The 23889-nt window shown below is 56.6% G+C and overlaps 1 protein-coding gene across 2 annotated transcripts, besides 3 other annotated features; it reads left to right on the top strand.

The window, feature by feature from the left end:
- Positions 3033–13949, top strand: AKAP17A (A-kinase anchoring protein 17A). Of its 2 annotated transcripts, NR_027383.2 has the most exons (6): positions 3033–3198; positions 4873–5653; positions 6813–6961; positions 10621–10861; positions 11567–11636; positions 12088–13949. NR_027383.2 is itself a non-coding variant. In NM_005088.3 (5 exons), exons 2-5 carry the CDS (start codon positions 4892–4894, stop codon positions 13021–13023), a joined length of 2088 nt encoding a protein of 695 aa, NP_005079.2. In that variant the 5' UTR covers positions 3033–3198; positions 4873–4891; the 3' UTR covers positions 13024–13949. The 2 variants fall into 2 exon arrangements, 1 of the variants encoding a protein (NP_005079.2); NM_005088.3 differs by lacking the exon at positions 11567–11636.
- Positions 19705–19877: a silencer, noted in NCBI's record as "fragment chrX:1727169-1727341 (GRCh37/hg19 assembly coordinates)". NCBI's record gives its function as "represses an EF-1alpha promoter that drives an FKBP-Casp9 reporter gene in an ReSE screen in HepG2 liver carcinoma cells {active_cell/tissue: HepG2}" and the evidence as "EXISTENCE:reporter gene assay evidence [ECO:0000049][PMID:32094911]".
- Positions 20894–21478: an enhancer, noted in NCBI's record as "H3K27ac-H3K4me1 hESC enhancer chrY:1678358-1678942 (GRCh37/hg19 assembly coordinates)". NCBI's record gives its function as "activates a minimal SCP1, AML or CMV promoter by ChIP-STARR-seq in naive H9 embryonic stem cells {active_cell/tissue: H9 hESC(naive)}" and the evidence as "EXISTENCE:reporter gene assay evidence [ECO:0000049][PMID:30033119]".
- Positions 21479–22061: an enhancer, noted in NCBI's record as "H3K27ac-H3K4me1 hESC enhancer chrY:1678943-1679525 (GRCh37/hg19 assembly coordinates)". NCBI's record gives its function as "activates a minimal SCP1, AML or CMV promoter by ChIP-STARR-seq in primed H9 embryonic stem cells {active_cell/tissue: H9 hESC(primed)}" and the evidence as "EXISTENCE:reporter gene assay evidence [ECO:0000049][PMID:30033119]".

Below are 23889 nucleotides of genomic sequence, written 5' to 3' on the forward strand. Positions count from 1 at the left end.
TCCCCTCCCCTCCCTTCCCCTCCCCTCCCTTCCCCTCCCCTCCCCTCCTTTCCCCTCTCCTCCCCTCCCCTCCTTTCCCTTCCCCTCCCCTCCTCTCCCTTCCCCTCCCCTCCTCTCCCTTCCCCTCCCTTCCCCTCCCCTCCCCTCCCCTCCTTTCCCTTCCCCTCCCCTCCTCTCCCTTCCCCTCCCCTCCTCTCCCTTCCCCTCCCCCTCCCCTCCCTTCCCTTCCCCTCCCCTCTCCTCCCCCTTCGCCTCCCCTCCCCTCCCTTCCCTTCCCCTCCCCTCCCTTCCCCTCCCCCTCCCCTTTCCTCCACTCCCTTCCCCTCCCCTCTCCTCCCCCCTTCCCCTCCCCTTCCCTTCCCTTCTTTCCTCCTATCCCCTCCTCCCCTCCCCTCCCTTCCCCTCCCCCCTCCCCTTTCCTCCGCTCCCTTCCCCTCCCCTCTCCTCCCCCCTTCCCCTCCCCTTCCCTTCCCTTCTTTCCTCCCATCCCCTCCTCCCCTCCCCTCCCTTCCCCTCCCCTCCCTTCCCCTCCCCTCCCCTCCTTTCCCTTCCCCTCCCCTCCTCTCCCTTCCCCTCCCCTCCTCTCCCTTCCCCTCCCTTCCCCTCCATTCCCCTCCCTTCCCCTCCATTCCCCTCCCTTCCCCTCCCCTCCTCTCCCTTCCCCTCCCTTCCCCTCCATTCCCCTCCCTTCCCCTCCCCTCCCCTTCTTTTGAGATGGAGTCTTCCTCTTGTCATCCAGGCTGGAGTGCAATGGCGCAATCTTGGCTCATTGCGACCTCCACCTCCCGGGTTCAAGCAATTCTCCTGCCTCAGCCTCCTGAATAGCTGGGATTACAGGTGCGCACCACCACGCCCAGCTAATTTTTGTATTTTTAGTAAAGACAGGGTTTCACCATGTTGGCCACAATTGTCTCAAACTCCTGACCTCAGGTGATCCACCCGCCTCGGCTTCCCAAAGTGCTGGGATTACAGGCATGAGCCACTGTACCCGGCCTAAATCACAGACTTTTATGTCTCACGGTTCTGGAGGCTGAGAGTCCAAGATCAATGAGTGGGAGGTTCAGTGTCTAGTGAGGACCCGCTTGCTGGTTCACAGGTGGTTCCTTCTGGCTGTGTCCTCACATGGTGGAAGGGGTGAGAGAGCTCTCTGGGGCCTGTCTTCTAAGAGCACAAATCCCACTCATGACCTAACCACCTCCTAAAAGCACCACCTCTAATACTCTTGCAGTGGGAACTGAGTTTGAACTTGAGTTTTGGAAGGACAGAAACATGGAAGGCATAGCAACCCTCTTACACAGCCCGGCCCCTCTGAAGCCTGCCTGGGTTCACAGAATGTTCCGTCTTCCTCAGGCCCCTGGTGTGTTGGCTTTCTCCTTTGTTGATAGCTGATGTTGAGCAATGCAAGATTTCTGTTCTGATTATCTGACCCTGGATATCCAGTTTGGGGACTTGTGACATATTTGGGACGTCAGAAGCACGTACCTCTCACATAGAGCATGGCATACTTAATAAACAATAAATTATAATAAAAAATGAATAATGCATTATAAATTATCATTACTTATTTATTTATTTATTGGAGACAGAGTCTCGCTCTGTTGCCCAGGATGGAGTGCAGTGGCGCCATCTTCGCTCACTGCAACCTCTGCCTCCTGGGTTCAAGTGATTCTCGGGCCTGCCTCAGCCTCCTGAGTAGCTGGGACTATAGGCAACCACCTCCACACCCGGCTAGTTTTTTGTCTTTTTAGTAGAGACGGGGTTTCACCATGCTGGCCAGGCTGGTCTTTTTTTTGTTTTGTTTTGACATGGAGTCTCGCTCTGTCAACCAGGCTGGAGTGCAGTGGCACGGTCTCACTGCAAGCCCCACCTCCCAGGTTCACGCCATTCTCCTGCCACAGCCTCCCGAGTAGCTGGTAGCTGGGACTACAGGTGCCCACCACCACGCCCGGCTGATTATTTTTTGTATTTTAGTAAAGACGGGGTTTCATCGTGTTAGCCAGGATGGTCTCGATCTCCTGACCTCATCATCCGCACATCTCGGCCTCCCAAAGTGCTGGGATTACAGGCATGAGCCACCGGGCCCGGCCCCAGGCTGGTCTTGAACTCCTGACCTTGTGATCTGCCCGCCTTGGCCCTCCAAAGTGCTGGCATTACAGACGTGAGCCACCGCACCTGGCCTCATTTATTATTTTGTAATCACATTATAAATTGTCATTTATTATTTCATAATTACATTATAAATGATCATTTCAGAATTACATTATATATTTTCATTTATTTCATAATTACACTATAGATTATCATTTATTATTCCAAAATTACATTATAAATTATGATTATATTATACAATAGCATTTGCTTCATAATTACATTAGATTATCATTTATTTTTAAATTACATTATATTTATTTCATAATTACATTATAAATTATCTTATAATTAGAAATGATCATTTATTTCATAATTGCAATATAAATTATTATTAATTTCATAATACCATTGTAAGTTATCATTTATTATTTCATAATTACATTATGTAATGGTATGCGTTAATAATTATTAATATACAATTAATAATTATTAACCATTCAATTAATAGTTAATTAACTAGCAATTTATATGTAATTCTATAATTACGTCATAGAATATGATATCTAATTTATACATAAATTATATTATTCAAGTATATTACCCATAATTTGCAAGTATAGTATAGAATCCCGTTATAGGATCCTATTACATTTTAGAATTTTGTTATATATATTTGACTCTACAATTGGAATTTAGACCCCACACCGGCCCCCCTCCTGTTTGGCTTAAGGGCTATGACCACAGACCCTGGCCCAAGTACCTCCCCTGGTTACCCGCAGGCAGGTGGCACCATGGGGGCGGGGCGGACTCGCGCACGCGCAGTGCAAAAGGTCGGGCTCCCGGAAGTCCCTCCTCCCGGGGGCGGAGCCAGGGCAAGAAGGAGAAACCCGGTGCTGCCGCGCGGCCTCTTCCGCGAGCCCGCGCGCCGGAAGTGGAAATGCGTCATAGAGGGCGGGCGGCGACGGCGGTGGCGGCGTCGGAGGCGCCTCCGGGGGACGGTGGCGGCTCCCGGCGGTGAGGCCGCGCCTGTCCGGGGATCGTCGAGGGACGGCGGGAGCTTGGGCCAGCGGCGGCGGCGGCCTGGGACGCAGGCGGAGCCCCGCGCAGGTGAGTGCCGCCCCCGTGCCTCCCGGGCCTGGCTGCAGCCGGCGAACGCTTCGCTCCTAGGGCCGGGCCCGGGGGGCCGGGGCTTGGGAGGCGGCGCCTAGGGGCCTCGGAGGTGACGGGGCTGGGGTTGGGGGGCGTGGGGTGCCACCGGGGGGCTGGGAGCGCCTGAAACTGTACGGGGGAATCGGGGGCTGGGGAGGTCTGCGGTCGGGGTCCGGGGGTCCCTGGAAGTAGGGGTAGGGGCTGGAGCGGTTCCTGGGACTGCACCGAAGGAGCTGAGGCCTGGAGCGGTGTCGGAGGGCTGGGAGCTCGGGGGATCGGATGGGCGGGAGACTAGGAGGCCTGGGACTAGGGGACGTGGCGCTGCGGTCGCTCCTAGGTCTACAGTGGGAAGCAAGGGGCTGTCCGGGGTTTTCGGAGGCTGGGGCGGTGCTGTGTAGGTTGGGGTATTGGGGCTCATCCAGGAGGGTGGTGGGGAGCGGGGAACTGAGGAGCTGAGGGTACCGAGTGGCCAAGGGCCTGAGAATGTGTGGGGCCCTGCCAGGGGTGCCAGCGGCAGCCTGAGGCCATGCTGGGGGGCTGCGGTAGGTGGGAATACCAGGGGCAATGCCGCGTACTGGGGATTGGGCAGCCAGGTGTACCGGGGTGGTCGGAGGGCGCTGGAGGCCAGAGTGGGGAGGGTTCCTCGGTGGTGAAGTTGCTGGGGCCGCTTGGGTTCTGGGGGAGGGTTCACTGGTCTCTGTCCAGACTGGAGCCCCTCCCTGGTGCCCCACTGACCTTTTCTGGTCGCTTCTCCACCCTCCCTCCCTTCTTTCGCACCTCCCACCTCGGGCTTGGGCGAGGAGGCCGTCTCCTGGGCCTGGCAGGAAGCCTCCAGGTTGATGGGGTGGGCGGCCGGGCCGGAGGCGGTCACCTGAGATGGTTGGGTTTCTGCGAGTGAAGCTTCCTCTACTTGGACTTGGCCGTCAGGAAGTGGCTGCCCGTCAGCTCAGCAGGGAAGAGGTGGGTTAATGAAGGTGGGCGGAGAAAGAAGGCGCAGACGGGGGACTCCGGCCCCTAACTTGTGGAAAGTTCGTTGTACTTTTTGGCTTTGAGTGGGTTAAAGCTGGGATACGTTTGGCCTTCGTGGAGATTACTAGGGTTCATGGTTCTGGATTGTTGTTGCAGCCCGAGACTTCCTGTTTTATCAGGGCAAGTACAGGGCCGCCGCCCCCTCCACAAAACCTTTCCAGATGCCTGCAGCTGTGCTCTCCCTGGCCCCTTCCCTTCCCCAGTGTCTCTCTGCCCCTTCCCGTGGAGCTAGGCGTTTGTAGCGTCCCCGTTCCTACTTGACCTGTGTGAGGGGCCTGGTCGTGCTCAGCTTCCTATTCTGCAGGCCTTGGGAGCTGCTGGCTGCTGGATGTAGGGTGTCGGGCAGTGCTGACCGAGGCTTTGACACTAACCTGTTCTTTATCAGCTCGGCTCTTTCCCCTTTGGTGTACTCTTAATGATTTCAAAAAGTAAAGAACTCCGTTGAGATGGCTGTTAACAAAGTGGAAACCGGTCTCTGACACGGCAGAGAGACACTGCTGTTTCTCTTCTCCGGGTCCAGAAAGTGCCTGCTGGCTTGGCCCCTCCTCATTGGCGGGGGAGGTGGGGGGTGCTGGTGCTGACTGTCTGCGTCTTATGTTTCAGGCCCAAGGTCCCGGAGGCTATGGCAGCGGCTACCATCGTGCACGACACGTCTGAGGCCGTGGAGCTCTGCCCTGCTTACGGCTTGTACCTGAAGCCCATCACCAAGATGACCATCAGCGTGGCACTCCCGCAGCTGAAGCAGCCGGGGAAGTCCATCTCCAACTGGGAGGTGATGGAGAGGCTGAAGGGCATGGTGCAGAACCACCAGTTCTCCACGCTGCGTATTTCCAAGAGCACCATGGACTTCATCCGCTTCGAGGGGGAGGTGGAGAACAAGAGCCTGGTCAAGTCTTTTCTGGCCTGCCTGGACGGCAAGACCATCAAGCTCAGCGGCTTCTCCGACATCCTGAAGGTGCGCGCGGCCGAGTTCAAGATCGACTTCCCCACCCGCCACGACTGGGACTCCTTCTTCCGCGACGCCAAGGACATGAACGAGACCCTGCCGGGGGAGCGGCCGGACACCATCCACCTGGAGGGGCTGCCCTGCAAGTGGTTCGCCCTGAAGGAGTCGGGCTCCGAGAAGCCCAGCGAGGACGTCCTGGTCAAGGTGTTTGAGAAGTTCGGGGAGATCCGGAATGTGGACATCCCCATGCTGGACCCCTACCGGGAGGAGATGACGGGCCGCAACTTCCACACCTTCAGTTTCGGGGGGCACTTGAACTTCGAGGCCTATGTGCAGTACCGCGAGTACATGGGCTTCATCCAGGCCATGAGCGCCCTGCGCGGGATGAAACTCATGTACAAGGGCGAGGACGGCAAGGCCGTGGCCTGCAACATCAAGGTGAGTCCTGGGCACCGAGAGAGCCACGCGCTTCCTCCCTCTGGCGACTTCCTTCCAGCAGGGTCAGCAGAACGCTCCCAGCCACACCCCTGAGGCTGTGGGGACCTCCCCTAAGTAAAATGGCAGCAACAGTCCTGTGCCTGTCCAATTTCAGAGGCACAGGCGTGAGGTGGAGTAGGGGTCCCGTGCTGTGGTTTTGGAAATTTGGTATCTTAAGGAAGATGTGGGGGAGACACAGGTCATATAGTAGGTGAGGGATGGAGCCTCAGGAACTCTGACAGGGATTTGAACCGTGTCAGAACCAAGAGAACCCGGCCTTCCCAGAATGCACCTTGAAACCAGGGCTGAACGTTCCCTTTAGCCTCATGTGCTTTTTTATTTTTTTTATTTTTTTTATTTTTATTTTTTTTTCGAGGCAGAGTCTCGATCTGTTTCCTGGACTGGAGTGCAGTGGCGCAATCTTTGCTCAGTGCATCCTCCGCCTCCTGGGTTCGAGCGATTCTTCTGCCTCAGCCTCCCGAGTAGCTGGGACTACAGGCGCGTGCCATCACACCTGGCTAATTTTTGTATTTTTAGTAGAAACAGGGTTTTGCCGTATTGGCCAGGCTGGTCTCGAACTCCTGACCTCATGAACTGCCTGCCTCGCCCTCCCAAAGTGCTGGGATTACAGGCGTGAGCCACTGCGCTCAGCCTAGCCTCGTGTTTTGACCGTGTTGGCTTCACAGTGACAAATGAGCCAGCCTCCTGGAGGGGGTTTTGTGGCCTTAAGATGTGCCCTGTGGGTGTGGGCAGGCGGCCTGCTCAGTGACTGTGGCCACAGGGAATGGTGGAGCCGGGTAGCGGAAGGGGAGCTGTGTCTCGCAGCGGTGGCGTGTCACTTGTGTTCAGTAAGTGGCGAGGGCTAGTTGGTGTTCCTCGCTGAGTCGTAACTCCGTGGGATGAGCTAAGTCTTGAGCCACTGATGGTGACTTGAAGGGATTGGTTTGGCTTCTGGGCTCCACTGTCTGGGTCTGCACCGGACATGAGTGGTGAGCGGTGAGCGGTGAGCGGGCGCTCAGGCTCTGAGGCCACTCGGCCCTACGGCCCAGGAGAGGGCGCCTGGCCGTGTGTCTGGGGGGTTTTGGGGGAAGGCCATCTGACACTGTTTTTGCTTTTAAAGGTTTCTTTTGATTCGACCAAACACCTGAGTGATGCCTCAATTAAGAAGCGGCAGCTGGAGAGGCAGAAGCTTCAGGAACTGGAGCAGCAAAGAGAAGAACAAAAGCGCAGAGAGAAGGAAGCGGAGGAGAGGCAGCGAGCGGAGGAAAGGTACCTTCTGCGGGAGCGGGCCCTCGGCGCTGGTGTCCGGCACCTGGGAGTGTGCGCAGACCCGTGTGCGTGTGTCTGCATGTATTCCTGTGCGTGTGTGTGTGCATGCATGCTTGTGAGCTTGTGTGTGTACCTGTGTGCATGGACGCACGTGTGCCTGTGAACCGGTGTGTGTACTTTGTATGTCCCTATGTGCGCCCGAGTGTGTGCCTGAGCATCTGTGTGCACGTGTGCCTGTGTGTGCGTGCATGTGTGTGAGCTCGTGTGTGTACCTGTGTGTGTATGTGCACGTGTGCCCACATGTGTGTGCTTCTGTATCGGCACATAGCACACATGTGCCTGTGTGCATGCGTGTGTGCCTGTGAACCCGTGTGTGTACTTGTGTGTGCACGTATGGGTGTGTGTGCAGGCCTGTGGGTGCTCAGCTGTGCACGTGAGGACCTGCGTGAGTGGCTGTTTGAGACGCAGCAGAATATGAATGTTTCTCTTTTTCTTGTCACACGTCGTGGTCTGACACGATCTCTGCCGGCTCCCAGGACCGCGCCTTGCCCGAAGAGCCACCTCTTCTCCCTCCACATGCTGTTCACACCTCCCGCTGAAACAAGCAGAATGCCTTGGCTGTTTGCAAGTTTGCATTTAGGTTGAGGCTACATTTACAAAATGAAGTAGAGGGTTGATGGTGATGGCCAGATTTAAAAAAAAAAAAAAAAACAAAAAACCAATGATAGGACAAAAACCCGGTTTCACATAAGAGGCCTTTAAAGCAATTGCCTGGGTCGTTCACTGTGGTTGGGGTACCAGAGACAACCTCAGGTCACTCTTTGTAGCCCCTTTTATCTTCTTAGCATTGCAGGAGGGAACCAACAACTTTCTGTGAATCCCCTGAGGCGGAATCCTCCTCCTCCTCCTCCTCCTCCATCCCTCCCACCCTCCTAGTGAGGTGGATTCCTCCTCCTCCTCCTCCATCCCTCCCACCCTCCTAGTGAGGCGGAATCCTCCTCTTCCTCCTCCATCCCTCCCACCCTCCTAGTGAGGTGGATTCCTCCTCCTCCTCCTCCATCCCTCCCACCCTCCTAGTGAGGTGGATTCCTCCTCCTCCTCCTCCATCCCTCCCACCCTCCTAGTGAGGTGGATTCCTCCTCCTCCTCCTCCATCCCTCCCACCCTCCTAGTGAGGTGGATTCCTCCTCCTCCTTCTCCGTCCCTCCCACCCTCCTAGTGAGGTGGATTCCTCCTCCTCCTCCTCTTCCTCCTCCATCCCTCCCGCTGTGCCCTCCTAGTGAGGCGGATTCGTCCTCTTCCTCCTCCATCCCTCCTGCCGTGTCCTCCTAGTGAGGTGGATTCCTCCTCCTCCTTCTCCGTCCCTCCCACCCTCCTAGTGAGGCGGAATCCTCCTCCTCCTACTCCTCTTCGTCCTCCGTCCCTCCCGCTGTGTCCTCTGACGACTTTGGTGCGTCCTGCACGTCTGTTGCGCTTCATGTCGCCGATATCAAGTCTGGGACGTGTTGGACTTGGCTGGGGGGCTCCTGGACAGCCTCTGGTGGGACCGAGTTGGTCCGTTTTGTTTCCATTTCTCACTGCTTTATGTGACGCTGGTGCCAGCGTGTTGATGTGTGTGGCTGGTGATGTTTGCACGAGAGTCCCGGCACTGAACTCCTGGGAGCAGGTCCATCCTGCCCGTGGTGTTCTTTACGTAGCCCCCGTTGCCTCCCCAGGGGAGAGTCGGGTTGTCAGCCTCTGAATCTGAACCCCGAGGGCTCCTTAGGTGAGGCAGGTGCAGTGTGTAAGCGAGTGGCCGTGAATGTGCTGGGGGGGCCCATGTCAGCCGTCAGGATTCCCAGGACCTAAGGCAGGCAGCACAGAGAGGCAGACGCCCTGGGAGGGAGGGACATGCTGCTGCGTCGCCATCCTGGGAGGCGGTCCCTGGGAGGGGCGGTTCGGATGTGGGGTTGAGTCCGGGTCCCCTGTGTCAGCCACTGTCAGGCCGAGCAGGACAGCTGGGGTGGGAGACAGTCCTGGGGCGTTACAGGGACTCTTCCAGGCTGCAGACACAGCCCAGGCCTGGCTGAATGTGCCTGTCCACATTCTGGAAGTGTGGAGTGGGACTCAGAGCCTCGGACCTCTCGGTGTCGCAGGAGTGTCCCCGCAACATTTCAGAAAGCAGCTTGCGGGTGCGGAGAAGAAGCTGCATCCTTGATCTTTCCCTGAGGAGAGATGGACGTTGGAGTAGTGGAGTGTGTCTCTGCAGGGAAGGGACCCCGTCTGCCTGGCCAGACCACAGAGGGATTGGGGGAAGCGGGGCCGGGCCATGAGGTTCTCGAGAGCAGGATGGGGTGTCCAGAGCCCCGGGGAGGGGCAGGCCTGTTGTCTGGGGGAGCTGGCCAGGAGGGCTCCACACGCAGGGCCGTACTTGTCCCCGCTGTCCCCCACTGTCCTTCCTCAGAGGCTGAGCATGAGGGGAGGCCCAGGGCAGCCTCCTGCATTTCTTTCTGGTGGGTGGAGATGAGGCATGTTTGCTTGTTCAGCCCTCACGTGTAACTTTGAGCTTGATGAGAGCTGTCCTCTGAAAGCTGCCCAGCCTCGAGGCGTCGCTGTGGGTCCCGCCTAAGGGCGTGCTGTGTGCTGGGCTGCCCTGAGCCGCCCTCCGAGCTCGTGGGGCGGTGACAGCTCACAGGGCGGTTAAACCTTCAGCACATGAAACTGCCTGAGGACCTGCATGCCCCGCCCGGAGACCGTGTGGATCACTGTCTGGGCGTCGGCACCTGGCCCGGCCCCCTTCTTGGGGTGGCAGAGCGTGGGATGCCTTTTCTCCCGGCCTGCTCCTCCTTGTCCCCGTGTCTCCTCTCCCCTTGGTGTCTGCGTGGGTCTGTGTCACCCCGGCGGGCTTTGTGGCCTCACTAGGCGGTTGGCGGCGCCCACCCGGGCTTCAGAAGTCTCCGCCTCCGTGTCGTGTTCCATAGGAACAGCTGCGACTTGTTCCCATGTCCGGTGTTGGTTGAAATGCATTTGAGAGCTGCGGGGCGGGGGAGGCTGAGCTAGGGAACTCCCCACTGTCTCTTGTGGACTCTCTCTGGGGACCGCGCCCCTCCCCGGCCGCATTCATCCTCACTTCCTGGACACCCCTCTCCACAGGAAAAGTGCAAGGAGCTGAGTGGCGTGGCTGTGGTTGGATTTGTTTAGAGAGAGGTCCCCCCGTGCCAGTGCTGTGTGGTGCCCTCACAGGAGTCCTGCACAACAAGGAGTCACCCAGCGCGGTTCCTGGTGGGCAGAACCGGCGTCCTCCGCGCCGCTGTGCATCCCGGGGCCTTGTTGGGCCTGCTGGGGTTCCTCTTTCACCCGTCCGTCTGCCCATCCGTCTTTCCCCTGACTGGGGGCGTGGCTTTTGATGTGGTCGGTCCAGTGGTCGTTTTCTTCGTGGTTTCAGGGTTGGGTCACACTTAGCAGGACGGTGTGTTGGAAGGTCACGGAGGTCCTCGCCCGGCTCACTCCTTCCACCTCTCGGGCTGCTTTGAGTCAACCGAGGTCCACCTTGGGATAAAGAGTTAAATGCTTAATCGTTGGACCGTGGCCTGTTCCGCCGTGTTTGGAAAGCCGCTTGTATGGTGTGTGGTGTGTTGGCTGCGGCGCTCTCTGTGACCACCCCCGGTGTGTTCCACACAGGAAACAAAAGGAGCTGGAAGAGCTGGAGCGAGAGAGGAAAAGAGAAGAGAAGCTTCGCAAGAGGGAGCAGAAGCAGAGGGACCGTGAGCTGCGCCGGAATCAGAAGAAGCTGGAGAAGCTGCAGGCGGAGGAGCAGAAGCAGCTGCAGGAGAAGATCAAGCTGGAGGAGCGCAAGCTGCTGCTGGCCCAGAGGAACCTGCAGTCCATCCGGCTCATCGCCGAGCTGCTCAGCAGAGCCAAGGTACCCGGGGGCTCCCTCTGCAGCCGCCAGCCGCGCCCGGGCTGCCCTCAGTGCCCTCCCCTGAAATGCGGGCGGCGTCACGGCGCCGTTTCCCCGCCGGCTGCAGCTGTAGCTACGAAACCAGCTTTAATGCCGAGGATGACGGCTCCTTCCCGGGAGGGTGTAGCGCTCGTCTGTCGTTCCCGATGATTTCAGAGCTGTGACGGTTTCCTTTTGCAAAGCTGGTGCATTCAGGTTCCCCGAGCAGGCTGGCAGCCTCCCGGGGGCCAGGGCAGAGGCTCTCTGTTTCCTTTGGGTCGGGGCAGTGGCAGAGAGTGCAGGGGGCCGCTCCCTCTGGCCCGCGCCTCTGTGTGTGGTCAGCTGGCCTGGCTGTGACCTCACCAGTGGCCCAGAGCAGAGGGGCAAGGTGGGCTGGGGGGAGGGCTGAGCGCACAGAGGGGGCCTGCCGTGGGCCCGGGTCCCTCCTCCGCAGCGTGAACCTGACAGGTCTCACCAGCGCCGGTACTGACGACCCCCTCAGCACCAAGAGCCTCCCTGCTCCTCCTGCAGGCGCGACTGGTAACTCCCATGAGCCCGGGGCCAGGGCCCACAGACAGACAGACCTCCCCAGGACAGACGTCCCCGGCACGCTCCTTGTCCTCAGGAGGGCTGCGTCCCCCTGGAGTCCAACGCGGGGCGACCCCATAACCTGTTGTCTGATTACAGTTGTGATAAGTCCCCGGGAAGGAGCATGACAAGAGGCTGAGACATGTGGCAGCCCAGTCCTTACCTCATGGTGAATATTGAAGACACTAACCCAGGCTAGGCCAGGCTCGCCCCGCAGCTACGGCGGTGGCATGCGTCTGCGGCGTCATCTCAGCTCCCTGTTGCTGGCGGCCGCTTGTGACCTAACCGCAGGCGCCTGTGTGCAACGTGGTGGGGCTCCCGGCAGGGCTCGGCTCTGCCCAAGAGGCCCGCCCTGGGGCTGCGCCGAGCCGCTTTGCCAAGGGGTTTCCTTCTCACTCAGACGCATGATGGCCCCAGGTGTGGCCGCGGGAGCCGAGGGATGGACGGGCTGGACCTGGCTCGCCGTAGGAGACGCCCCCCACCCCTGGGCTGGAGTCCAGCCAGGCCGCTGATCCTGCATCCCCAGACCATGGGGCCTCCAAACACCTTCCCAGCTCCTGTCCCACGTGTCCGGCCAGGCTCAGGAACCGGGCTCAGCTGCACTTTCCTCTTCCCCGCAGGCTGTGAAGCTACGGGAACAGGAGCAGAAGGAGGAGAAGCTGAGGCTCCAGCAGCAGGAGGAGCGGCGGCGGCTGCAGGAGGCCGAGCTGCGGCGCGTGGAGGAGGAGAAGGAGCGCGCGCTGGGCCTGCAGCGGAAAGAGCGGGAGCTGCGCGAGCGGCTGCTGAGCATCCTGCTGAGCAAGAAGCCGGACGACAGCCACACACACGACGAGCTGGGCGTGGCACACGCCGACCTGCTGCAGCCCGTCCTGGACATCCTGCAGACCGTGTCGTCCGGCTGTGTGAGCGCCACCACGCTGCACCCCCTCGGGGGCCAGCCCCCGGCCGGTGCCCCCAAGGAGAGCCCGGCCCACCCAGAGGCCGACGGCGCTCCCAAAAGCGTGAACGGGAGCGTGGCCGAGGAGGCCCCATGCAAGGAGGTTCAGAGCTCCTGTCGTGTGGTCCCCGAGGATGGCTCTCCAGAGAAGAGGTGCCCGGGCGGCGTCCTCTCCTGCATTCCTGACAACAACCAACAGCCCAAGGGCATCCCTGCCTGCGAGCAGAATGTCTCCAGAAAGGACACCCGGTCAGAACAGGACAAGTGCAACCGGGAGCCCAGCAAGGGCCGGGGCCGGGCCACCGGAGACGGGCTTGCTGACCGGCACAAGCGGGAGAGGAGCCGGGCCAGGCGGGCCAGCAGCAGGGAGGACGGGAGGCCACGCAAGGAGCGGCGGCCCCACAAGAAGCACGCCTACAAGGATGACAGCCCCCGCCGGCGCAGCACGAGCCCGGACCACACCCGGTCCCGGAGGTCCCACAGCAAAGACAGGCACCGGAGGGAGCGGAGCCGGGAGCGGAGGGGCAGCGCCAGCAGGAAGCACAGCCGCCACCGCCGCCGAAGCGAGCGGTCGCGCTCCCGGTCCCCGAGCAGGCACCGCAGTACCTGGAACAGGTAATGACGGGCACGGCCTCCCCACGGCCTGTCCGGGAAAGACCAGGACCTGCTCGAGCCTCCTGGCCGCTCCTTGGCCGCTCTCCGTCCACCCCTGCAAAGCCAAGACCCTTCTGCAGCCACGAATGTCCACGGAGCCCGCCGGCAGGAAGGAAGACACCATGCTTTAGAGATCCATCTTTCTCCACTCACCGCAGCGTACTTGGCACTTCAGTTTCAAACACGTAGTCCTTTAAAACTTGATCCGATAGCTTTAATGCGGCCGGTCCTCTCTCAGTCAGGAAAATTGCACAGACCGACAGTCGTGAGGATGGCAGAGCTGCTGCATTCCCCCACACGGGGATTTCTGTGTCTGCTTGGCGACCTCCCTGCGTGCACGGCCTAGGAGGTGCACGGGCCACCATAGTCACACTGGCACTGAAAAGAAAGCGTTGCCCTGGTGATTCTTTCCCCCCCGTTTGTAATGTTAACTGATCAGGAAGTGCAGTTTGGGTGGGATGCCGAATCGTCGTGCTGACATTGAGTCACGGATGAGGAAGGTACAAGTCCTTTAAGATCAAAACTCAAACGGGCCGTTCTTTCTAAGGTGTCGGTATGTGGGGAGTGGTACAAAATGGTCTGATGCTCCTTCAAAAACATTCACTTTTTACAACGTCAAGGAATTAAGCATAAAAAAGATTGGTTAAAAGCTTTGGTTTCTAGTAAAGGTTAGTGTGTGTGGTTTTTTTAAGAAGCTGTTTTGCTAAATTATTTTTACTTGGAATGTTTCAAACAGATTTCAGGCTGCAAACTTGTTTTATAATCGTTTGCTTCTCCAAGTGAAGCTCAGAAATACCTAAAAATAGCTGTAACGTTCGCGTTAGGAAAGATGGTGTTTATTCCAGTTTGCATTTTTATGGTGAAATAAAATCCTTTTCCAATGAACTAAAATTTTTCACGCTTACGATTTTTGTGTTTTTATGTTCCTTGGACTGCATTATTCAGCTGAGGCTAGCCAAGTGTGCGTGAAACCAGTAGAGATCGTTCGCTTTTCCTAGAACTGCTGATTCAACGATGACATATCCCACAGCTCTCCCGCAGCTGTACGGTAGTAACCTTCTGAGAGGAGAATCCTGGCTCTTAAGAGGCATCTGATTTGTTTGCTGAGAACATAAACTTAGCCAAATTCCCAAAACCAATCTTTTTTAAAGCCAAGGAGCTGTTTTTAAAGCAAATTTAAAAGACGGTCGTTCTTTTTTTTTTTTTGAGCCGGAGTCTCGCTCTGTGACCCAGGCTGGAGTGCAGTGGCACGATCTCAGCTCACTGCGAGCTCCGCCTCCCGGGTTCACACCATTCTCCTGCCTCGGCCTCCCGAGTAGCTGGGACTATAGGCGCCCGCCACCGTGCCCAGCCAATTTTTTTGTATTTTTTAGTAGAGACAGGGTTTCACGGTGTTAGCCAGGATGGTCTCGATCTCCTGACCTCGTTATCCGCCTGCCTTGGCCTCCCAAAGTGTTGGGATTACAGGCGTGAGCCACCGCGCCCGGCCAAAGACGGTTCTTTTCCCCGCCTAAAGTAGTGGTCACAGGTAGCGTAGGCACTGCCTGCTTGACCCAGGGTGGAATAGTCTGTTCCTCTGTTTAATTAAAACACAAACGTTCTTGGGGACTGGAGGGCTGGACACGTGCCTGTTGCACCCCCAAGCTCATATCACTAGCAGACAGATGAGCACTACACACACACCTTTCTCTCAAACGGCTCTGTCTGGCCTGAGACCAACTGACAAGATGCGTCCAGACACAGAGTGTTTGCAAACACGGACCTCTCAGAAGTCTGCATCTGGCCGGGCGCGGCAATTCAAGCCTGTCATCCCAGCACTTTGGGAGGCCGAGGCGGGCAGATCACGAGATCAGGAGATCGAGACCATCCTGGCTAACACAGTAAAACCCCGTCTCTACTAAAAATACAAATTAGCCAGGCGTGGTGGCGGGTGCCTGTAGTCCCAGCTACTCGGGAGGCTGAGGCAGGAGAATGGCGTGAACCGGGGAGGTGGAGCTTACAGTGAGCCGAGATCGCGCCACTGCACTCCAGCCTGGGCGACAGAGCGAGACTCCTGTCAAAAAAAAAAAAAAAAGCTGTGTATCTGTGTCAGTCTGTCCAGCCCAGCACTGAGCTTTTTGCCTGTTCAGTAGTTATTAGAGCGTTGCCAGGGCCGGGCATGGTGGCTCACACCTGTTATCCCAGCACTTTGGGAGGCCGAGGTAGGTGGATCACCTGAGGTCAGGAGTTCAAGACCAGCCTGGCCAACATGGTGAAACCCCGTCTCTACTAAAAACACAAAAAACTAGCCGGGCGTGGGGATGGTCACCTGTAATCCCAGCTACTCGGGAGGCTGAGGTAGGAGAATCGCTTGAATCTGGGGGGCAGAGGTTGCAGTGAGCCGAGATCACGCCACTGCACTCCAGCCTGGGCGACAGAGCGAGACTCCATCTCAAAAACAAACAAACAAACAAACAACGTTGCTAGGACCAGGTGTTGCTCTGGGCACCTGGGATATGGTGCTGGAAAAGACAGCACTCCCTGCAACGCTGAGGAATGTGTAGATACAGGGATGAGAAGTCCCAGTGATAGCTTCTCGAGAGAGCTGTGTGCGCAAGACAGAAGGGTGGACGTGGTGTGTCTGAGGTCAAGAAGTGCATGTGGCCGGGGGAAGGAGTAGGCAGAAGAGAAGCAGGAAAGGTGGACATGGAGCTGATCGCACTCATGAGGCTGACCCACTCCAGACTTTTGGGACGAGAAGCAAGAGGGGCTGTAAGCTGGGAGTGTGATGAGTGTGGCGGCTTGAAGTGCTGGTGGACTGGGCTAGGGGTTGATGGGAGAGAAGGTGGCAGAAATTGAATGCGTGTTGCCTTGTGATATGTTAGATGTGGGCAGTCTAGGAAAGCTGGAGAGCACCACCCCCAGGCCTATAGAATTGGGTATCTATGGAAGAGATTTAGGAATCTGAACTCCTTTTCTCTGTTTTCTCTTTTGTCTATCGCTCGTGCTCTCTCTCTCTCTCCTTCCTTCCTTCCCTCCCTCCCTTTCTTTTCCTTTTCTTTCCTTTTCTCTTTCTTTTTTCCTTTCCTTCCTTCCCTCTTTCCTATTTCTCTTTTATTTTTTGAGACGAATTCAAAAATTCTAAAATTTTTGAATTTTTAAGTAGAGGCAGGGTTTCTTCATGTTGGCCAGGCTGGTCTTGAACTCCTGACCTCAGGAGATCCACCAGCCTCGGCCTCTCAAAGTGCTGGGATTACAGGCGTGAGCCACCGCGCCCGGCTGAAATTTCTCTTCTTTGCTGTAGGGGTCAGTAGCAGTAAGTAGCGGCTGATAGGTGAGAATGGAGATTAATTGAAGCAACGCTGTTACTGATTAGATTTTGTCTTTACACTTGAGCCTGGAAGGAAGAAATGGAAGCATTCGACCCGAGGAATGTTGCCCCACAGATTTCTGGGGGGAGCATAGGAGATTGGTGTGTGCGTGCCCTGCCCTCCTCCCTCTCTCAACCCCTGTCAGTCTCTCCCCTGTTTTTCCCTGCTGTCTCTTCTCTCGCCCAGCTTCCCCTCTGCTTGTACTCTCTTCTGATCTCTGTTTTTGTCTCTGTCTCTCCTCCTTTCTTTTTTTTCTTTCTTTTTTTTTTTTTTGAGATGGAATCTCACCGTTGCCCAGGCTGGAGTGCAGTGGCGCGATCTCGGCCCAGTGCAACCTCCGCCTCCTGGGTTCAAGCAATTCTCTGCCTCAGCCTCCCAAGTAGCTGGGATTACAGGCACCTGCTGCCATGCCCGGCTAATTTTTTGTATTTTTGGTAGAGACGAGGTTTCACCATCTTGGCCAGGCTGGTCTTGAACTCCTGACCTCGTGATCCACCTGTCTTGGCCTCCCAAAATGCTGGGATTATAGGCGTGAGCCACCGCTCCCGGCCTGTCTCTCCTCCTCTCTTAATCCTTCCTTCTCTCCTCTCGCCCAGCTTCCCCTCTGCTTGCCCTCTCTCCCTATCTCTATTTTAGTCTCTCTTTGTCTCTCTCGGTCTTGTGATTTAGGGCACTTTGTGTTCAGTCCCTTTCTAGTGATTGGGATTATTATCCACTTAAAATATCCACAATAGGCCGGGTGCAGTGGCTCATCCCTGTAATCCCAGCACGTCGGGAGGTCGAGGCTGGTGGATCTCCTGAGGTCAGAAGTTCAAGACCAGCCTGACCAACATGGAGAAACCCTGTCTCTACTAAAAATACAAAAATTAGCCAGGCGTGTTGTCACATGCCTATAGTCGCAGCTACTCAGCAGGCTGAGGCAGGAGAATTACTTGAACCTGGGGGGCGGAGATTGCGGTGAGCTGAGATCGCACCATTGCACTCCAGCTTGGGCGACAAGAGTGAAACTCTGTCTCACAAAAAATAAAAAATAAAAAATAAAAATCCACAAGGAATTTCACTTCCATGTGGCAGAACAGAAAACGAATGGATTTATTGCAAAATACGAGTGAGAAAGTGTGATTCTCTCGTTCATACCCTTTTATGACACTTAGTTCTGAACCGATTTGCCTCGTGTCTTCAGTTGGGATCTCAGGATCTCTTTCAGCCAAAAAAATCAAACTTCCCTGTTGAGTATGGCCTGTGTCACGGTGACCATCCTCGGCTCCTTCCGTTTTTTTGTTTTTTTTCAAGACAGTCTCGCTCCGTCGCCCAGGCTGGAGTGCAGTGGCACAATCTCGGCTCTCCACAACCTCCGCCTCCCGGGTTCAAGTGATTCTCCTGCCTCAGCCTCCCAAGTAGCTGGGATTACAGGTGTCTGCCACCACACCTGGCTATTTTTTTTTTTTTTAATTTTTAGTAGAGATGGGGTTTCACCAGGTTGACCAGGCTGGTCTCAAGCTCCTGACCTCAGGTGATCCACCTGCCTCCCAAAGTGCTGGGAATATAGGCATCAACCACCGCACCCAGCCTCACCAGGTAAACTTTCAAGTTCAAAAGTGCAGCTTGGAATTCCAGAGGGAAGGAGGATGGGGATACGGGTACGTGTGAATAAAGCAGCGCTGTGTCTACGATTCCACTCTCTGTGCTCACGTGAACACATTACTCAGCTCCCACTCAGAAGTGAGAACACGCTGCGTTTGACTTTCTGTGTCTCTGTGATTTCAATTAAAGTAACGGCCTCCAGGGTAACGAAACTGCACTTCTATGCCCTAAATCTATAATAATACATCAAGGTAAAAAAAAAAAAAATGGGCCAGGTGCAGTGGCTGACGCCTGTCATCCCAGCACTCTGGGAGGCTGAGGCAGGCAGATCACCCGAGGTCAGGAGTTCCAGACCAGCCCAGCCAACACGGTGAAACCCCATCTCTACTAAAAATACAAAAATTACCTGGACATGGAGGTGCGTGCCTGTAGTCCCAGCTACTCGGGAGGCTGAGGCAGGAGAATCGCTTGAACCCGGGAGGCGGAGGTTGCAGTGAGCCGAGATCACCCCACTGCACACCAGCCTGGATGACAGAGTGAGATTCCATCTCAAATAAATAAATAAATAAATAAAATGTATTTCAAAAGTGCCAATATGACATGAACTGCTGTTAATTTGTTCACCTGTATTGTTAAAATGGGTGAATACGGTTACCAGATTGTGATCATGTTCAAATTCCATAGGCCGCAGCCTTCGGGATGAAGCAAAGAGTTTTTGAAAAATTACATATTCTATGTCTAAAATGGCACCATCTGCATTTTTGAAAAATTTTAGATAATATTACAAATGCGTAGGTTGGCTCATGCCTGTAATCCCAGCACTCTGGGAGGCCGAGGCAGGAGGATAGCTTGAGCCCAGGAGTTTGAGAACAGCCTGGGCAACATAGCAAGACCCCATCTCTACAAAGATAATTAATCAGGCTTGGTGGCAGGCACCTGTAGTCCCAGCTACTCAGGAGGCTGAGGCAGGAGGATTGACTGAGCCCAGGCATTCGAGACCAGCCTGGGCAACATGGTGAGAGCTTGTCTCTAGCAAACATACAGAAACTTTAAAGTTTTTAAAGTAGCTGGGCGTGGTGGTGGGTGCCTGTGGCCCCAGCTACTCGGGAGGCTGAGGCAGGAGGATCGCTTGACCCCAGGAGTTCAAGGCTGCAGGGAGAAATGATGGTGCCCCTGCACTCCAGCCTGAGCGACAGAGTGAGACCCCATCTCTAAAAGAGAGACCCTCTGTCTCTAAAAAGAAAAACAGACCGGGCGCGGTGGCTCACGCCTGTAATCCCAGCACTTCGGGAGGCCCAGGCGGGCGGATCACGAGGTCAGGAGATCGAGACCATCCTGGCTAACACGGTGAAACCCCGTCTCTACTAAAAATACAAAAAAAACTAGCCGGGCGTGGTGACGGGCGCCTGTGGTCCCAGCTACTCCGGAGGCTGAGGCAGGAGAACGGTGTGAACCCGGGAGGCGGAGCTTGCAGTGAGAGGCGATTGCGCCACTGCACTCCAGCCTGGGCGACAGAGCGAGACTCCATCTCAAAAAAAGTAAAACAATAAAGAGTATAGAAAAACATGCATGCATGGGGGGTATAGGAGAGGTCCCAGCCCTCAGCCGTAGCCATGGATGTCCAGGTGGTGATGTGTTGCCCTGGCCCGCCCCGCAGGCCTCCAGCATCTCCAACAGCGGCTTCCCAGGGGATGCTGAAGCTGCGGCCGGACCGGCCAGCTCGGGCAGGGGTGAGCGGAGCTGCATCACCCAGGCATCCCGTCTGGGACCTCCTCCCATGCCTCCTTCCTGGGCACCTGCCCCTCCTCACTAGCTCATCCTCCTTCCCACCTGGTGGAGGACACGCACACCCTCCTGGTGGCGTCCTCAAGCCCCGTCCACCTGCCCAGGAGCTGGGGCATCCTGTGTCTCCCGCCTTGCTCTCCTGCACAGCCTGACTCAGAGCGGGAGCTCGACCCCCTACCCTCCCCGCTGTACGCTGCCCCAGCAAACCTCCCGAGTTTGCACCCGGCCACTGGATCGGCCTGCACAGGGGCTGCCGCCTCCGTCCCAGATGGCAGGGGCTTTTCCCTGCACCCCACCTCACTCAGCTCATGCCTCTGCTCCTGGTGAAAAACTTTTCCCATCACTCCGTCCCGTCCCCTCTCTGCAGCAAATGACTCTTGTCCAGGCTGTCCAGGCTGCCAGAGACCACCGAGGCACTCAGTCCGGAAGCCCATCTGTGCCAGGGTCATTGGGAGGTAAAGGCAACAGGCTTTACCTCTCCAGGCCACCCCTGCGCCTACTCCAGCTAAGACTCCAGGCCACCCCTGACCCTACTCCAGCCAAGCCTCCAGGTCACCCCTGCCCCTACTCCAGCCAAGCCTCCAGGTCACCCCTGTCCCTACTCCAGGGGCTGAGCGCGGTGGCTCACGCCTGTAATCCCAGCACTTTGGGACTCCGAGTTGGGCGGATCACGAAGTCAGGAGATCGAGACCATCCTGGCTAACACGGTGAAATGCCGTCTCTACTAAAAATACAAAAACAAAATTAGCCGAGTGTGGTGGCAGGTGCCTGTAGTCCCAGCTACTGGGGAGGCTGAGGCAGGAGAATGGCGTGAACCCGGGAGGCGGAGCTTGCAGTGAGCCAAGATCACGCCACTGCACTCCAGCCTGGGTGACAGAGCGAGACTCCGTCTCAAAAAAAAAAAAAAAAAGCAACAGTATGTTCCCCTGGGAGAACGGAGGGGGCGGCTGTTTACAGTTGCCCCAGGGCAGGACCTGCACACTGGACCATCCAGGGCCAGTCACCCCACAGGCATCTCAGACTCCACACATCCCCGCCAAACCCCAGCCCTGGGTCTTCTGCATTCTGGGGACATGGGGACACCACGCTGGTCGGTAGGGTCCCAGGCTCTTCTCAATCTCTCTCGGGCCCCTCCTCTCCTGCTGCCGCTGCCGCGGTGAGACTCCGAGGCCTGTAGGAAGCTTCAGGTGCCTGAGCCTCCAGTACAGCCCTTCCCCTACTCCACCCAAGCCTCCAGGCCACCCCTGTTCCTACTGCAGCCAAATCTCCAGGCCGCCCCTGTCCCCTACTCAAACCAAGCCTCCAGACCGCCCCTGTCCTCTACTCCAGCCAAGCCTCCAGGCCGCCCCTGTCCTCTACTCCAGCCAAGCCTCCAGGCTGCCCGTGTCCCCTACTCCAGCCAAAGCTCCAGGCCGCCCCTGCCCCTACTCCAGCCAAAGCTCCAGGCCACCCCTGTCCCCTACTCCACCCAAGCCTCCAGGAGGCCCTGTCACCTACTCCAGCCAAGCCTCCAGGCCAGTCCTTCCTTTACTCCAGCCAAGCCTCCAGGCCACCCCTGTCCCTACTGCAGCCAAACCTCCAGGCCGCCGCTGTCCCCTACTCAAACCAAGCCTCCAGGCCGCCCCTGCTCCTCCTCCAGCCAAGCCTCCAGGCCACCCCTGTCCCCTGCTCCAGCCAAAGCTCCAGGCCGCCCCGCCCCTGCTCCAGCCAACCCTCCAGGCCGCCCCTGCCCCTGTTCCAGCCAAGCGTCCAGGTCGCCCCCGTTCCTACTCCAGCCAAACCTCCAGGCCACTCCTGCCCCTGTAGCAGGACTAGCCGCGGATAAAACCCCTCAGACACCAGGTTTAGGAAGGTTTTGGCTTTATTCGGCCGGAAGCGTTGGCGGACTCACGTCTCGAGAACCGGGCTCTCCGAAGACAGAGCTCCTGGCCCTTTGAAAGGCTTACAACTCTAAGGGGTTCCACGTGAAAGGGTTCTGATAGATTGAGAGCACGTGTGGTTAGAGTCGGGGGTTAATGTTTTAACCTCAGGCCTGGTCAGGGGTGCCGGCTGGTCTTGCCACTGACTTCATTCCTGTTGTTTTTCAACTTTTACTTCCTCCTTCTCTTCAGAGACAGGAGATAGTAAAATAAATGGCCTCTCTCCCCACCCCGACTCCAGCCAAGCCTCCAGGCCGCCTCTGACCCTGCTCCAGCCAAACCTCCAGGCCTCCCCTGCCCCTACTCCAGCTAAGACTCCAGGCCACCCCTGACCCTACTCCAGCCAAAACTTCAGCCCGTCCCACTCACCCAAGTTATACAAAAGCTCCTGGGCTTTCCGGCCAACTCTGTGTCCCAAACATCCCATCCCCAAAATGGCAGCTTCTGACTGTGTCCAGACCATGCAGGCCTCTCCTGAAACCGTCCTGCCAGACGCTGTCTCAAGGTGGTGAGGGGTTCCGTGCAATGTCCCTGAGGGCTTTTAAAGCCACCCTGTCTCCTGTCCATCGGCCCCCTCCCCTCCTCTCCCTCTGTCTTTCCAGATGCTCCACCCATGCAGGGTTGTTGTCTCTTCTTTGAACAGCCCGGACGCACTGCCGCTACCCCACGGCCTCCGCACCTGCTGTTCCCTCTGGCAGAGACGGTCTTTCCTGGGAGCACCCACCCGGTCCCTCCTGCCTCGGATTTCAAAGACTTCCAAAACCACCTTCACCCCAAAATCCAGCTCTCCCTCCCCTCCCCTTCTGTCCACACCCCCAAATCACCTTCTAACATCTTCATCTTTTTTTTTCTTTGTTTTGAGATGGAGTCTCCTTCTGTCGCCCAGGCTGGAGTGCAGCGGCGCGATCTCGGCTCACTGCAACCGCCACCTCCCGGGTTCAAGCGATTCTCCTGCCTCAGCCTCCCAAGTTGCTAGGATAACAGGCATGCACTGCCACGCCCAGCTAATTTTTTGTATTTGTAGAAGAGATGGGGTTTCACCATGTTGGTAGGCTGGTCTCAAACTGCTGACCTCAAATGATCCAGCTGTCTTCGCCTCCCAAACTGCCCAGATGACACATGTGAGCCACCACACCTGGCCCAGATCTGATGGTTTTATAAATGGGAGGTCCCCTGTTGCACACGCCCTCTGGCCTGTCACCAGGTAAGACATGCCTTTGCTTCTCCTTGGCTTTCCTGCCATGAGTGTGATATGTATTTATCAGCAACATGAAAATGGACTAATACAATATGCTTGTCAGCCACGCGTGTGTCTTCTTTTTGAGAAGTGTCTGTTGGCCGGGCGCGGTGGCTCACTCCTGTCATCCCAGCACTTTGGGAGGCCGAGGCGGGTGGATCACGAGGTCAAGAGATCGAGACCATCCTGGCTAACACGGTGAAACCCTGTCTCTACTGAAAATACAAAAAATTAGCTGGCTGTGGTGGCTGGTGCCTGTAGTTCCAGCTACTCTGGAGGCTGAGGCAGGAGAATGACACGAACCCGGGAGGCGGAGCTTGCAGTGAGCTGAGATCGAGCCACTGCACTCCAGCCTGGTGACAGAGCGAGACTCCATCTCAAAAAAAAAAAAAAAAAATTACCCAAAATTACCCAGTCTCAGGTATGTCTTATCAGCAGCATGAAAATGGACTAATATGCTTGTCAGTCACGTGTGTGTCTTTTTTTGGAGAAGTGTCTGTTGGCCGGGCGCGGTGGCTCACGCCTGTCATCCCAGCACTTTGGGAGGCCGAGGCGGGCGGATCACGAGGTCAAGAGATCGAGACCATCCTGGCTAACACGGTGAAACCCCGTCTCTACTAAAATTACAAAAAATTAGCCAGGTGTGGTGGTGGGCGCCTGTAGTCCCAGCTACTGGGGAGGCTGAGGCAGGAGAATCTCTTGAACCCGGGAAGCGGAGCTTGCAGTGAGCTGAGATCGTGCCACTGCACTCCAGCCTGGTGACAGAGCGAGATTCCATCTCAAAAAAAAAAAAAATTACCCAAAATTACGCAGTCTCAGATATGTCTTTATCAGCAGCATGAAAACGGACTAATACAATATGCTTGTTGGCCACGTGTGTGTCATCTTTGGAAAAGTGCCTGTTGGCTGGGTTCAGTGGCTCATGCCTATTATCCCAGCACTTTGGGAGGCTGAGG

The sequence above is a fragment of the Homo sapiens genome, chromosome X (genome assembly GCF_000001405.40).
Source record: "Homo sapiens chromosome X, GRCh38.p14 Primary Assembly".
Classification (NCBI taxonomy): Eukaryota; Metazoa; Chordata; class Mammalia; order Primates; family Hominidae; genus Homo; species Homo sapiens.